The sequence below is a fragment of the Homo sapiens genome, chromosome 4, assembly GCF_000001405.40.
Source record: "Homo sapiens chromosome 4, GRCh38.p14 Primary Assembly".
In the NCBI taxonomy this organism is placed as follows: Eukaryota; Metazoa; Chordata; class Mammalia; order Primates; family Hominidae; genus Homo; species Homo sapiens.
The window spans coordinates 112,312,440-112,327,753 of record NC_000004.12 but is presented as its reverse complement, the minus strand read 5'-3'; the positions used below and the strand labels follow the sequence as shown (position 1 = coordinate 112,327,753).

Here is a 15,314-nt window from a genome sequence, read left to right as displayed (position 1 = left end):
CACACTTTTGGCTGGGCCTGGTGGCTCACAGCTGTAATCCCAGTGCTTTGGGAGGCCAAGGCAGGAGGATCACCTGATGCCAGGAATTCGAGACCAGCCTAGACAACATTGTTTGTAGAGACCCCATCTCTACAAAAAAAATTTTTAAAAATTATCAGGGCTCGGTTGTGCACGCCTGTAGTCCTGGCTAGTCCAGAGGCTGAGGTCGGGGGGATCCCTTAAGCCTAGGAGTTCAAGGTTATAGTGAGCTATGATAACACTGCCACACTCTAGCCTGGGTGACAGAGTGAATGAAACCCTGTCTCTTCAAAAATCAAAACAGAAAACACTTTTCACTAATGTTTTTATTACAAAAGCACTAACAATCCTAACAGTACCCACCATTTACTGAACACTTAGCTTGCTATCAACTTACATATGTTTATTACTTATGCCAAATTTATGAAGTCTTGTTATTCTCATTTTGTGGATGAGAAATCTGAGGCTACAAGAGGTGATGCAGTTTATTAAAGATCACAGAGCTTGTCAGTAAGTTGCAGAGTTGGTGTTGGAATGCAGATCTGTCTCCCTTCAAACCTGCACTGTGAACAAATTCACCACACTGTCTCTGAATATTTTATTTTTCTATATTTCAAACCTAGAATGACTGTCTATGGCTTTTCAACTACCCTCTCCCCCTCACTTTGAAATATACTCTCCTGGGCAGGGGCCGTCTCCCTACTGCTTCACTGAGTAGGAAAGAATGACCCTTCTTGATCTACTGCACAGTGACTGAGGGTACAGGCAGAAATGCAGAGAAGCCTCCTGCACCACCACGTTAGTCCAGCAGCATTCCAGAAGTCCAAGGTGAAACTGTAACCCACTCTTCCTCTTCCTGGAGCTTAACTTGGCAAATGCCTCCTGATCAGACCTCTATTCATTTGGAGTCCTCCCTATGGGCTCTAAATGAATCCCTGTTCAATCAACAATGCCTAGATTTACGTACACATAGGGGCTAAGGCCTGCTCTGCAAAAGCATCCTCAAGTTGGAGTTCTGTCACATTTTTCTTCGGAGGTTGCTTTTTAAGAAGACCATTAGGAAATTAAAGACACCCAAACTAGTTTTGGCATAAAGGGGAATGTATTGATGGACATGAGGATGGGAAATGCAGACAGTCCTCATGTGGGATTAGAACAAGGAAATGGAAAGCTGTTAGTGGAAGCCTGCCTCCCTTTCTTTCTCTCTCTCCACAGTATGATTTATTCATTCCATTAAGACTTGAATGCCTACTATGTGTCAGGCACCATGCTAGGTAGGTGGGGCAAGAGTACCTACAGATGTAAATGAAACAGAAAAAGTCTGCTTCATTTCTCTCTGTAGACCATCTTTATCTGACCTATTTATGATGGCTTTGCATGACCCCTCGACTCAAGCATTTAACAGAAACTAACTCAGTTGCAGCGTCCTTAGTTTAAAGATAAAATCTTAGCACAACGCATGGCTTGTTCCTTCCAGCATTTAATCAGGTGTACAGCAAAGGGGCTTGTAGCAGGGAGGTTTGCATGGACAATCTCAAGTCAAGGAAAAATAAATTATGTAAAAATGGGATGTTGGGAAGGAAAAACTGACTGGTGAAAGAAATGATGATCATCTCTACTGCAAAGACTTTCAAAGATAAAGGGATGATGGTTTCCATAAACTTGAGGAAAGGGGAAAGAGCCCTAGGAAGGCCAGGCACTCATGCTGAGGTAGGAAAGGCTTTGATGGCTCAGCCAGAGACACCAGTTTGAGTGTGAGGGGAGGCTTTGAGTAAGGCACTGCTCGCTCACACAGCCTCTCACTCAGGGCCTTAGGGAAGCCTGGGTGAAATCCTTTGGGAGGGTAGAAGGGACAGAAGAGAAGAGGGGAATTATGAATCTTAAAACAAGGCCTTCCCTGGAGTGCCTGAAAAATTCATGGTTGCTTAAAAACTCAAATCATTTAAGGTTGCCTGAAACATTTGTGAACCCTGGAGGCAATCAATCTCCAATTATGAGAGCAGCAGATGGAGAGCAGTGATACTACAGCAGTGGCTCATGAAGACTGGAAGGCATCCAGGACAAAGTGGGGCAGGGAGGCTAAAAGTTGAGATGTGTGATAACAAAACGCCGTACGATTGCCCCGTAAGTTTTATGGACACGAGGGCCACAGTGGTCCGGAGAAGGAGTATTTACAATTATCAATGTGAATGTGAACTCTACTCACCAGTCTGGACTTTGAATGTGAATGACCTAAATATACCTCAAGTCCCTCACTTCTAATACCATCACAAAATATTTCAGCTTAATTCCTGCCCTGCAAGGGAATCTTGAGAGGATACGATATTTCATTTGCTTAACTATACATTTCTAAGGAACTGTTTAAGTCTGACCATATTTATTCATATGATCTTTGATTTGTAGTTCAATTTACAATTTTGGGGAAAAAAATCATGGCTGGTAAATGGGAATAGTGTCTAAAGTTTTCAAAGAAATTTGGTACGTGCCAAAAGCCTGCATATATAAAGAGCTGTGATTACTGCAGTGCTGATTTAGGGAGATAGGTGCATTACCTTAGATTATTTGAACTTCATCAGTGATTACTTTGTATAGTGAGTCCTAGATTCATTTTCCATGAAGTAATGTGCTTAGATATTTTATTATAAAGCCAAGTAGCCTACAATGTCTTAGCTTTTGTTATTCTTCTGATTTTTCCTCCTTATCAGGTCTGAAATTTGAAACTATTCCCTCAAGGGATTCACTCTATTTGCCCCCCCCCCCCTTTTTTTTGGTTCCTCAGTGACTCTCCTTCTTCTCATTAATTAATCAATTTGCTTCAACAAATATTTATTGAACCCCTCTGATGTTCCAGGGTAACTACAATTCTTACTTTCACAGAATATTTTTGGGACAGACAATCTACCACAAGCTCTGGGCATCTCTGCAAGTTCTTGCAGTGTATGTCAAGAATGAGAGATCAGGCCTGGTGCAGTAGCTAACACCTGTAATTCCAACATTTTGGGAGGCTGAGGCAGGATGATCATTTGAAGCCACGAGTTTGAAGCCAGCCTGGGCACATAGCGAGAACCTTAGATAAAATAAAAATAAAAATATTAGCCTGTAGTGGTGGCACATACCTATAGTCTTAGCTACTCAGGATGCTGAGAGGGAGGATTTCTTGTGTCCAAGAGTTTGAGGTCGCAGTGAATTATGATTGTGCCACTGCACTCCATCCAGGACAATAGAGTTAGACCCTGTCTGAAAAAACAAAAACAAAACAAAACAAAACAAACAAACAAACAAACAAAAAAAGCCAGGCCAACCTCTCCTTACCTGGGAATTTATTAGAATTTGCAGCATCTTTGAGGAATGAGGTCATGTCTCTCACTGGGACAAAGAGCAGGCTTTTTTTTTTCTTTTTTTTTTTTCTGAGATGGAGTCTTGCTCTGTCACCCAGGCTGGAGTGCAGTGGCATGATCTCGGCTCACTGCAAGCTCCGCCTCCCAGGTTCAAGCCATTCTCCTGCCTCAGCCTCCCCAGTAGCTGGGACTACAGGCGCCTGCCACCATGCCCTGCTAATTTTTTGTATTTTTAGTAGAGACGGGGTTTCACTGTATTAGCCAGGATGGTCTCGATCTCCTGACCTCGTGATCCGCCCGCCTTGGCCTCCCAAAGTGCTGGGATTACAGGCATGAGCCACCACGCCTGGCCAAGAGCAGGCTTTTTATAAAAGCAGTGGGCTCCCTAAGCCCAGTGTTCCTTGGCTGCAATAGAGACAAACCCACTGACTGCATGCACAGCATCCACTGGCCCACTCACTACTACTCCAGTGGGACTTGGAGGACATGAGGAGCAGATGTCAGCATGATGTTCATGCTGCTTGATGTACTATGGGTACTAAAACCTTTTGTCTCTGTCTCAGGAGTTTCATGCCGTCTGCCAAAATCCATGAAATAACAGGCTAGCTCATTAGCTTATAAGGAGCGTAGAAGCAAATTACAGACTCTGACAAACTTAATATTTTCCAAGAATTGCCTCACTCCTAGATGAGCCTCTCACAGAGTAAAATTTTATGTAATTTCCTAAATATTCATCTTAACTGAAATAGGATAAAGGCAAAAATGGCAACTTTATTTGACATACATTTATTTTTTGTGTGTTCTATGTTGTCCAAAACGTATAGCCTGTGTATTACCAATTCCATGCTTTTCAAAAAAATCAAATTGTTAAAGATTAAGATTTGTGGCACCAATAATGCAAATTAACCAAAATTTTCTGGATACCTGCTATGTGCCAGGATCTGTAAGGTGATATAAGGATGAATTAGACATAGTTCTGGAATTTTAGGGCTCAGGGTTTACTAGAGATGACAGGCAAATAGGTCTGAAATAAAAGACTGAATCTGCTCAGATATAGCAAAATTCCAAGCAAAGAATGGGCAAAGAATGATTGTGATTTGTAGTTTAATTTACCACTTTGAGGAAAAAAATAATGATTTTTTATACAGGGAAAGGAGGTTTAGTTAAGATACGCTTTGCTTAGAAGACCGACTAGGACATTGAAAGATGGGTAGGACTCCAGACAGTGGAAGTGAAAGGGGTAGGCTCTGAGGAGCAGGGGTGGATGGCAGTGTGAAGAGATGCACATCAGACAGATGTGGTGAGATGTGGGGCACAGCAAGAGCAAAGACACAGAGGGACCTTGTAGAAAGTGACTGCGGTCAGCAGGAAGTCCAGGTTCTCAGGGGTGGCTGTGGCTGGGCTGATGACTGACACAGACTTTAATCAAGTTTAGGTGCTCAGGCAGGCATGGGGCATTTTAACAACACTTTACATTGGCAAAGTACTTTATTGCTGTATAGCAGCTACTCAAATACTCTTTAGTAATGTTATTTCCATGAATCTGTTAATTTTACCTTATCTATTTTATTTATTTTTAAGGGAAATAAATGACATAAATGGGTATTAAGAACTTAATTCGTTCTTGAGTCCTATTTCAATTTCACTTAATTTCCCCTTTTTGATTTGAGGCCAAACTCATTGATCTGGGGCCCTGTGGTAGATTGTTTCCTATTTTTTGTTTTTCTCCATTGTAACTAATGAATTAATTATGCAGCTTTGTTTAATATCTGTCTTCCTCACTATAATTTAAACTCCAAGAAGGCAGGAAATGAGTTTGTTTTGTTCCCTTCTATAACCTCAGTACCTTGAATAACTCCTAGCACATAGTAGGTGCTCAAAAAATATTTGTTGTTGTTAAATGTTTATAAAAGCAGATGCAAGCTAAATCTGGGTAACCTATCTTGTTGATTAATCCTGTGCATTGCTTACTGTTGATAAGTTGGAAATATTTCTTTTTATTTCAGGGATATCTGTAGTGTTCAAAGAAGGTAAGATGCCTTTTGTCATCTCTAAAGTATTAAATTCTCTGCCTACACTCTTGAAGTGACAAGAACAGCATGCTTAATTTTAATTCATACTCTTGTCTCTTTGAAATAATGTAAAATTTTTAGAATATCTCTTAATGTTGATTCTCATCAGTCTTACCAGAAATTTCCACAAAATTTGCTTTATAAGTACATTATCAGATTATCTGAAAATTCTGTGACAATGTTTATGTCAAAGCTTCTGGCCCATAAAATAAGCCAGTCTGGGTGTTAATGAGGATGCCAACACCAACAAATGTTTGCCGTCATTCACATCAACCCCCATCTTGACGGTTTTCTGCAATTTCTGACAGTAAAGTTGGTTCTTCTTTCTAGTGCCTCACTGCCGCCCTCTACTGGTGGCACTTATCAGTACAGGTATAAGCAATTTCACTTTTAACTAGTGTGTTTATACTTACTAATGAAAACAAATGTGACACTCTACACAACAGAACAGGTCTAAATAAATTATAAGACTCAGTAATGGCCTGTAAAAATGGAAAATTTTGTGGAACATTAAAATAGCAGTGCATATTATGCAACTGACAAATACTCGTATTTGAATTTCATTTCAGTAAAGATCCATTAATCTTTTTGAATTTTGTCTTATGAAAAAACTCACTAATCCACTGTCCCAAAATCTATGATGTTTCAATATATCAATGATTAAAATTATAGTTGTATGCAAATACATGGAAATTAAATAACCTGCTCCTGAATGATTGTTGGGTCAACAATAAAATCAAGGTGGAAATTTAAAAATTCTTTGAACAGAATGATAACAGTGACACAACCTACAAAACCTCTGGGATACAGCAAAGGCAGTGATAAGAGGAAAGTTCATAGCATTAAATACCTACATGAAAACGTGTGAAAGAACACAAATAGACAATCTAAGGTCATACTTCAAGGAGCTAGAGAAACAAGAACAAACCAAACCCAAACCCAGCAGAAGAAAAGACATAACAAAGATCAGAGCAGAACTAAATGAAATTGAAACAAAAAAGACAAAAGATAAATGAAATGAAAAGCTGGCTCTTTGAAAAGTTAAATAAAATTGTTAGACCATTAGTGAGATTAACCAAGAAAAGAAAAGATTCAAGTAAGCTCAATTAGAAAAGAAACGGGTGATATTGGCTGGGCTCGGTGGCTCACGCCTGTAATCCTAGCACTTTGGGAGTCCTAGGCGGGAGGATCATGAGGTCGGGAGATCGAGACCATCCTGGCTAACACGGTGAAACCCCATTTCTACTGAAAATACAAAAAAATTAGCCGGGCGTGGTGGCAGGCGCCTGTAGTCCCAGCTACTGGGGAGGCTGAGGCAGAAGAATGGCGTGAACCTGGGAGGCGGAGCTTGCAGTGATCCAAGCTCGCGCCACTGCACAACAGCCTGGGCCACAGAGCAAGACTCCGTCTCAAAAAAAAAAAAAAAAAGAAAGAAATGGGTGATATTACAACCAATATCACAGAAATACAAAAGATCATTCAAGGCTACTGAAAACCTTTACACACATGAACTAGAAGACCTAGAGGAGATTAATAACTCTCTGGAAGTATGCAACCCTCCTAGATTAAACCAGGAAGAAATAGAAACTCTGAACAGACCAATAACAAGGAGTGAGATTGAAATGGTAACTAAAAAGCCACCAACAAAAAAAGTTCAGGACCAGATGAATTCACAGTTGAATTATATCAGACATTTAAAGAAGAATGGTACCAATCCTATTGAAACTATTCCAAAAGATAAAGAAAGAATCCTCCCTAAATCATTCTATAAAGTCAATATCATCCTAACATCAAAACCAGGAAAGGACATAACAAAAAAAGAAAACTACAGGGCAATATTCCTTATGAACATAGATGCAAAAATCCAGAACAAAATACTAGCTAACAGAATTCAACAGCATATAAAAAAGATAATCGACCATGATAAAGTGGGTTTCATACCAGGGATGCAGGGATAGTTTAATATCTGCAAGGCAATAAATGTGATACACCACATAAACAGAATTAAAAATAAAAATCACATGATCATGTCAATAGATGCAGAAAAAGCATTTGACAAAATCCAGCATCTCTTTATAATTAAAACCCTCAACAAAATTGGCATAGAAGGGGCATACCATAAGGTAATAAAAGCCATTTGTGACAAACCTATAGTCAACATCATACCAAATGGGGAAAAGTTGAAAGCATTCCCCCTGAGATCTGGAACAAGACAAGGATGTCCACTTTCACAACTTCTATTCAACATAGCACTGGAAGTCCTAGCCAGAGCAATCAGATAAGAGAAAGAAATAAAGGGCATCCAAATTGGTAATGAGGAAGTCAAACTGTGACTGTTTGCTGATGACATGATTGTATACCTAGAAAACCCTAAGGACTCATCCAAAAAGCTCCTAGAACTGGTAAATGAATTAAGTAAAGTTTCAGGATACAAAATTAATGTACACAAAATCAGTAGCTCTGCTATACATCAACAGTGACCAAGCTGAGATTCAAATCAAGAACTCAACCCCTTTTAAAATAGCTGCAAAAAAATAAATTACTTAGGAATATGCTTAACCAAGGAGGTGAAAAACCTCTACAAGGAAAACTACAAAATACTGCTGAAAGAAATGATAGATGACACAAACAAATGGAAACACATCCCATGCTCATGGGTGGATAGAATCAATATTGTGAAAATAACCATACTGCCAAAAGCAATCTACAAATTCAATGCAATTGCCATCAAGGTACCACCATCATTTTTCACAGAATTAGAAAAAATAATTCTAAAATTCATATGGAACCAGAAAAGAGCCAGCATAGCCAAAGCAAGACTAAGCAAAAAGAACAAATCCGTAGGCATCACACTTTCTGACTATAAGGCCATAGTCACCAAAACAGCATGGTGTTGGTATAAAAATAGACACATAGTCATTTTAGAATGACTAAATAGAAATACTGTTAATGCAAAAGAGCCTTATCTATTAAATGCTCCATGGGTCCATAACTTGCAAACAATGCTGGTTCTGAACATGTACATGACCCCAAAGTCTTTGGTCATGTTCTCTTGTATTCTTCCTTACTCTCAGCACACACCCTATAGGCAACAAAGCTGCCAACCTCACCTCATAAGTATGGTCTTTGCTTCTCAGTCTCTCTTCTTGCTGCCTGCTTCAGGGTTTCTCCCTGTTTAGTTTGGACCACTAGCCTCCAGGCTGGTCTTCCTGCCACTTGTCTCTTTCCCAGTTCCCATTCTTTATGCTTCATGTGCTGCCCAGATAGGTTCTTAGAAAGCAGAACTGACGGTGTTACTTTCCTACTTAGAAACTCCTGGCTCATTGTTGCCTATAGGATGAAACACAAACTCCTGAACTTGGCATGGAGGGTCCAAGTTGCCACGCTCAGCACTACCTGCCATTAGTGTCGCTTCTACCACTGTGAACTTGCCCTTAGTACTCTGGAATGGTGTCCCCAGGACTCTGTTTTCAACAGTATGGCAGAGTCTAACATCATGCTCTGTCATAATTCAGTTTCTTAACTGTCTCCCAGTAGACTGTGACTTCTGTGGGTGACCACAGTGTCTCACTCATTTTTTTCATTTCAGCTTCTCATGCTGTGACTAGCACACTGTAGAAGCTGTGTGAATGGACACATAAATGAATGAATGAATGTTCCTCTCCCCATTTTTATCTAATAAACTCATCAGTTTTCAAGTCTTAGGTTATAAAGGTACTTCTCTAAAGACTTTCTTGACTCTAATATGGCAGAATTAATTGCTGTCATGGTAGTTGCATATACTCCAGTCTTCCATGTTAGGTCATAAGTGACAGAAGCAACCTGGAGAAGTGAAAAGGATATGAGCTTCAGAGGCAAATGACCCTGGGCTAATCACTTAGCCTTGACACTCACTATCTGTGTCACCTTCAATAAGTAGCTCAGCTTTTCTGAAATGAACACTCGTTTCTTCATCTTTAAATGGAGTTAACACCACTTCCTCATAGGACTGATGCAAAGATTTAATAAGCAAGTAAAGGTTCATGACACATGAAAATTTCATTAAATTTCAGCATTTATTTCCTTCCCCCGAGGGTGAAGACCCTATTTAATTCATACCTAGGTTCCCAGAACTTCAGAAACTATAGAGAATCAATAAATGTTTGTTGAGTAAATAAATGATTCCCAGAGTTGTAGTTAGTCAAAAGTAGTGTAAGTATATACTTTAAAAAGGTCTTTTAAACTAATACAATTGTTTATTAATTCCTTTCTACTCACTTAGTATAAATATCACATCCTAATACCCTGAAATGTCTTGAATCAAATTCTTCTCATTTTTATGACGATAGTATCTAAAGTACACACACGTCTTGTGGTTTGAGGCATATTTTCAGACCTTTCAATTATACTTCCATTTGTACATTTCCTTTATGTAGTCACTGTAAAGTATGTTTGTGAAGTGCTTGGATAATAAGTAACATTTATTTTGTAATGGTATATATATGTAATAATTTTAAGTAAGACAAAGCAAAATATAAAATTGTTCATACAGTGTAATAGCAACTCTGCAAAAAATCATCGAAAACCACTGACATTTTCTTCCAAAAGTAGAAAAATCCATCCTAAAATTTATATAGAATCTCAAGGGACTTGGAATAGCTAAAAAAATTTTGAAAAAAAGGAAAATTGGAGGACTCACACTTCCTGATTTCAAAACTTACAATGAAGCCATAGTAATCCAAACAGTAGTATAGACCATCGATGTATAAGAAGCCCAGAAATAAACCATCATATATAGGGTCACATGACTTCCAACAAGAGTGCCAAGACCATCCAATGAGGAAAGAATAGTTTTTTCCAACAAACGGTATTGGGAAAACTGTATATCCACATACAGAAGAATGAAGTGAGACCCTTACTTTACAACACCACATACAAAAATTAACTCATAATGGACCAAAGACACAAATGTAAGAGTTAAAACTAGAAAACTCTTAGAAGAACACATAGGAGGAAGGCTTCATGAAGTAGGGTTTGGTGATTTTTTGTATATGAAATGGAAAGCACAGGCAACAAAATAAATAATAGATAAATTAGACTACATCAAAATTGAAAACTCTGGGCATCAAAGGGCACAATCAGCAGAGTGAAAAGGAAACCTATGAAATGAGAAAAAATATTTGCAAATCATGGATCTGACAATGAGTTAATATCCAGAGTATATAAAGAACAACTGTAACTCAACAACAAAAAAATCAAACAACCCAATTAAAAAATGGGCAAAGCATTAGCATTTGAAACTACAATTTTGGAAACTTAAAGCTAAGTTAATTTGGATCTGTTATTTGATTCATCCACTAAAGTTTTTTTGTTGTTGTTTAAAGTGCTTATCAGCATAATGATAAATGTCATGCACATTTGTGAAGAAACATCCTTTTTGGTTCCTTTTGGGAATGCGAGTCATTCCTTGATCTTTATGAATGACAGGTTACTGTTTTGCCTTACTTAATGTAGTGGAATAAAGCAGACAAAGCTTGAAAAAAAATGGGCAAAGTTTGAATAGACATTTCTCCAAAGAAGATATACAAATGGCCAATAAGTACAGAAAAAGTCCCCAATATCACTAATCATTACAGAAATGCAGATCAAAAGCACAATGAGACACTACCTCACACCCATTAAGATGGCTGCCATGAAAAAATCAGAAAATAACATGTTGGAAAGGATGTGGAGAAATCAGAAATCTTATGCAGTATTGTCACTGTACGGCAGTTCCTCAGAAAGATAAAAATAGAATTACCATATGATCTAGCAATTCTACTTCTACATACACCCAAAAGAATTGAAAGCAGGAACTCAAGGAGATATTTATATACCCATGTCCATTACATGATTAGTAATAGCCAAAATATGGAAGCAGTCCACTGAACGGATGAATGGAGAAACAAAATTGGTATGTACATGCAATAAAATATTATTCCACCTTAAAAAGGAAGGCAATTCTGACATATGGATGAACCTTGAGGACAGAAGCCAGTCACAAAAGGACAAATACAGCATGATATCACTTATATGAAGTACCTAGAGTAGTCACACTGATAGACACAGAGAGGAGAATGGTGTTTGCCAGGGGCTGGGGAAGAGAGAAATGGGAGTTATTCTTTACTGGATGCAGAGTTTCAAATTTGTGAGATAAAAAAGAGTTCTGTGGATGGATGGTAGTTATTGCAGTGCAACAATGTGAGTGTACTTAATACCATTGAAATGTGCACTTAAAATCGTTCAGATGGTACATTTTATATTATGTGTATTTTACCACAATTTTTAAAAATTATTGAAGAATAATCAGAAGGAAATACAATAAAATGTGGAATGTTTGCCTCTAAAGTGGTACTTTTCTATTGTTTTCCTCTTCCTATTTTCTACAATGACTACGTATTGCTATGTAGTTAGGAAAAAATAACTTAACTCAAAAGTTTCATATGAAAACTTACCCAAAGTTTCGGTTCATTAGATTTCAATCCATTCCTGATTTAGAAGAACTTCCTAGTTAAGAAAAAGACATAAAAACAGAGGACTTTGTTATAAGAAGATGGAATAATCTCTATTTCTTGCATTATGTCACAAGCATTGTTGCATGCTTGCTATTCGAAACAGCGGATAAGGGAACAGGAAGATCAAGTTCCTGAGTTGCAAATGAGTGCAGAGAAGTTACAATTGTATCATCACTGTTCATCACTTTAGATATAAAAGGAAGAGGAATGTTACATCAAGGGAGACCAGATCCTGTCCAGAGTGCTTGACTGGGGACAAACCTCTTTTGGTTTCCTCCCTCCCTTAAATAGGGGAAAGGGCTTCAAATTTCTCCTTAAACTTCAACCATAAAGGAGAGAAAACTCAACATCAGAGTATGAAACTATCAGTGGTGGTCATATCTGATAATTTTATTATGCATGAAATAAAAGGACTTTGTTGAAAAACCTCTGGGGTTGACATCTTATCTCCTGGAGTTCTGCAACTTTCATCCACTGACTTTAAAAAAGTCTATTTACTACTTTTGGGGCCTGCCAGAAAAATGGGAATCCCCCAGTTATTTATACAAAAATGTTGCTAAAGAAGTTTGCAATAATAATTACTACTTTATTGTATATTAAAATGACAATGTGGCCGGGCACAGTGTCTTGCACCTGTAATCCCAGCACTTTGGGAGGCTGAGGCAGGTGGATCATGTGAGGTCAAGAGTTCAAGACCAGTCTGGACAAAACATGGTGAAACCCTGTCTCTACTAAAAATACAAAATTAGCCAGGTGTGGTGGCGCGTGCCTGTAATCCCAGCTACTCAGGAGGCTGAGGCAGGAGAATCATTTGAATCCAGGAAGTGGAAGTTGCAGTGAGCCGAGATCAGGCCACTGCACTCCAGCCTGGGCAACAGAGTGAGACTGTCTCAAAAAAAAAAAAAAAAAAAAAAAAGGCAATGGATTACTCTTCCCAGTAATTTACATTTTTCAACTCTCCTATAACCCTCTCAAAGGCCAGCTTATTCTCCTACAGCCCCTAAACCACCATCCTAGGTCGAGGTCTCCTGTTCTTAACTGCCACTTATGAACCTTGCTTTCACACACTCCTATCCCCACCTTTGGAATTCATGTCACCAGATTCTATTATCCCACTGCCCTTCATTGTTGCTATCAGCTGCCAGTTCTCAGGGCATTTTGGCTCCTGGATCACTTGGTCTCTCCAAATCACTCTTATTCTTCGATATTTCAATAATCATGTGATGATCCAGGACTCTCCATTCCTTGAAATCCTTTCTTCCAAAGATGTTGTCCTTGACACAACCTCAGTCATTCACTTCCATGGTCATACAGCCTAAATTTTGTTATCATCAATCACAGCAACCCTTCCAGATTTTCAAATTCACGAATCTCTCTCGCTATTCACTACTACCCATCTTGTCCCCTTTTAGTCTCCAAAATCCAACAATCCTAAAATCCCACTGGGACCTCTATGGATCCTACTCCTGAACCCTTACTGTACTTTTATGATCCGTTTACCTTCTGCTCACTTAGGTGACTATTTCACGCTGTCTCTTCTTCCTCCATCCTCATCCTCATCAGACGAGGACTTCCACAGGCTCCCACTCCCTTCTACGAATCTAACAGCAGCTGCATCCCATACTCTGTCTTCCCTTCTGCTATCAGAGAGGGACCACCCATGCTCTTATCTAAAACCAAGCACTCCATTTGGGCACTAAGTCCAACTGTGTTTCTATTCAAGGGCAGCAGTATTTCTCTCCTCTTCCTCTCTCAATCTTTTACATCGTCAAGCTTTTGCTCTCCTTTGGCTCATTCCTATCTGTTTACAAATATGCCATTATTTCTTTCATCTTAGAAGAAAAATCTCTTCATCTCACTTTCATCAGTAGTTATTGTCTTTTTTAGCAAAATTCCCTGAAAGAATTGTCTCTACTTGAGCTTCCAACCTCTCTCTTCCCATTCTCTTTTAAACGCATTCTAATTAGACTTTTGTCCCATTATGCCACTGAAACAAATTTTGTCAAAGTCACTGATCAACTCCATGTTGCTAAATCCAGCCGTCAATTCTTCTTATTATTACTTTTTTTGAGATGGGAGTCTCCCTCTGTCACCCAGGCTGGAGTGCAATGAGGCAATCTTGACTCACTGCAACCTCCAACTCCCATGTTCAAGCGATTCTTGTGCCTCAGCCTCCCAAGTAGCTGGGATTACAGGCATTTGCCACCATATCCGACTAATTTTTGTATTTTTAGTAGAGATGGGTTTTCACCATGTTGGGCAGTCTGGTCTCGAACTCCTGACCTCAAGTGATTCACCTGCCCCGGCCTCCCAAACTGTTGGGATTACAGGCGTGAGCCACCATGCCCGGCCTCCAGCAGTCAATTCTTACTCCTTATCTTAGTTGATGTGCCAAAAACATGTGACATAAAGCCTCCCTCCTCTGCTGTGTTCCAGGAAACCATACTCTCTTGGTTTTCCTCCTGTATTACTGATCACTCCTTAGTCTTTTTGGCTGGTTCCTCCTCTTCTTCTAGATCTCTTGATGTTGGAGTATGCAAAGGCTCAGTCTCAAACTATCTTCCTTTCTCCATCTAAACCTATTCCTCGGTGACTTCATTCAGTTCATGGTTGTAAATACCACATATTTATTGGTAATCATCAAATTCCTGTCTCCAGCCCAAACTTCACCTTAAACTTCAGATGCATATTTTCAACCGTAACTTGATATCTGCACTTGAGTTCACATTGAACCCCTGGTTGGCCTTTGTTAATGACTGAACCTTGTCAGCAGAGTGAAATGAAAGGCCAACTCTTGATGAGCTGGGCATTCAAAAGAGGCTGAATAGGAGCAGTTGGGGTTACCGGAAGGGCCATGCCTTGTGGAAGGAACTTGGCTGGAAGGAACTGCTTGGTTTCCTCCCGTTCACTTTCAATTTGTGCATGGGCAGCTGTAGTCTTAACAAGGTTTTCTTCTGACAACTATGACTTGGGGTGATAACTGTGTTGAGACACTGTGGGACTTCTGAAACCTGTCTGTTGCATAATAACTAAGGCTTTTCTGTTCTTTCACTGTGACTTCCTTTTTCACAAATAACTCCTGGCTTGCAAACGAGAGGTATTACCAGCCTATTCAATGTTTCCAGATTTCTGACAAGGGCTAGATAAAGAAGTATTTAAATCATTAAAATCTTAAAGAGTCTCCATGCTGTATTTGTCTTTAATATATTTTTAAGAATCTAGGCCAGGTGCGGAGGCTCACGCCTGTAATCCCAGCACTTTGGAAGGCCGAGGTGGGCGGATGAAGAGGTTAGGAGATCGAGACCATCCTGGCTAACATGGTGAAACCCCGTCTCTACCAAAAATACAAAAAA

At 39.2% G+C, this 15,314-nt stretch overlaps 1 protein-coding gene across 3 annotated transcripts in view, besides 1 other annotated feature; it reads right to left on the bottom strand.

Moving 5' to 3' along the window:
• The window catches only part of ALPK1 (alpha kinase 1), a 145,253-nt gene that overhangs the window by 114,868 nt on the left and 15,071 nt on the right, over positions 1-15,314 (bottom strand). For all 3 annotated transcript variants that reach the window (NM_025144.4, NM_001102406.2, NM_001253884.2), the window contains exon 2: positions 11,902-11,953. The gene's annotated coding sequence lies outside the window, so the exon portion shown is untranslated. The remainder of the gene's footprint in view (positions 1-11,901; positions 11,954-15,314) is intronic.
• Positions 8,468-8,517: an enhancer, noted in NCBI's record as "active region_21827". NCBI's record gives its function as "activates an Ori minimal core promoter by ATAC-STARR-seq in GM12878 lymphoblastoid cells {active_cell/tissue: GM12878}" and the evidence as "EXISTENCE:reporter gene assay evidence [ECO:0000049][PMID:35858748]".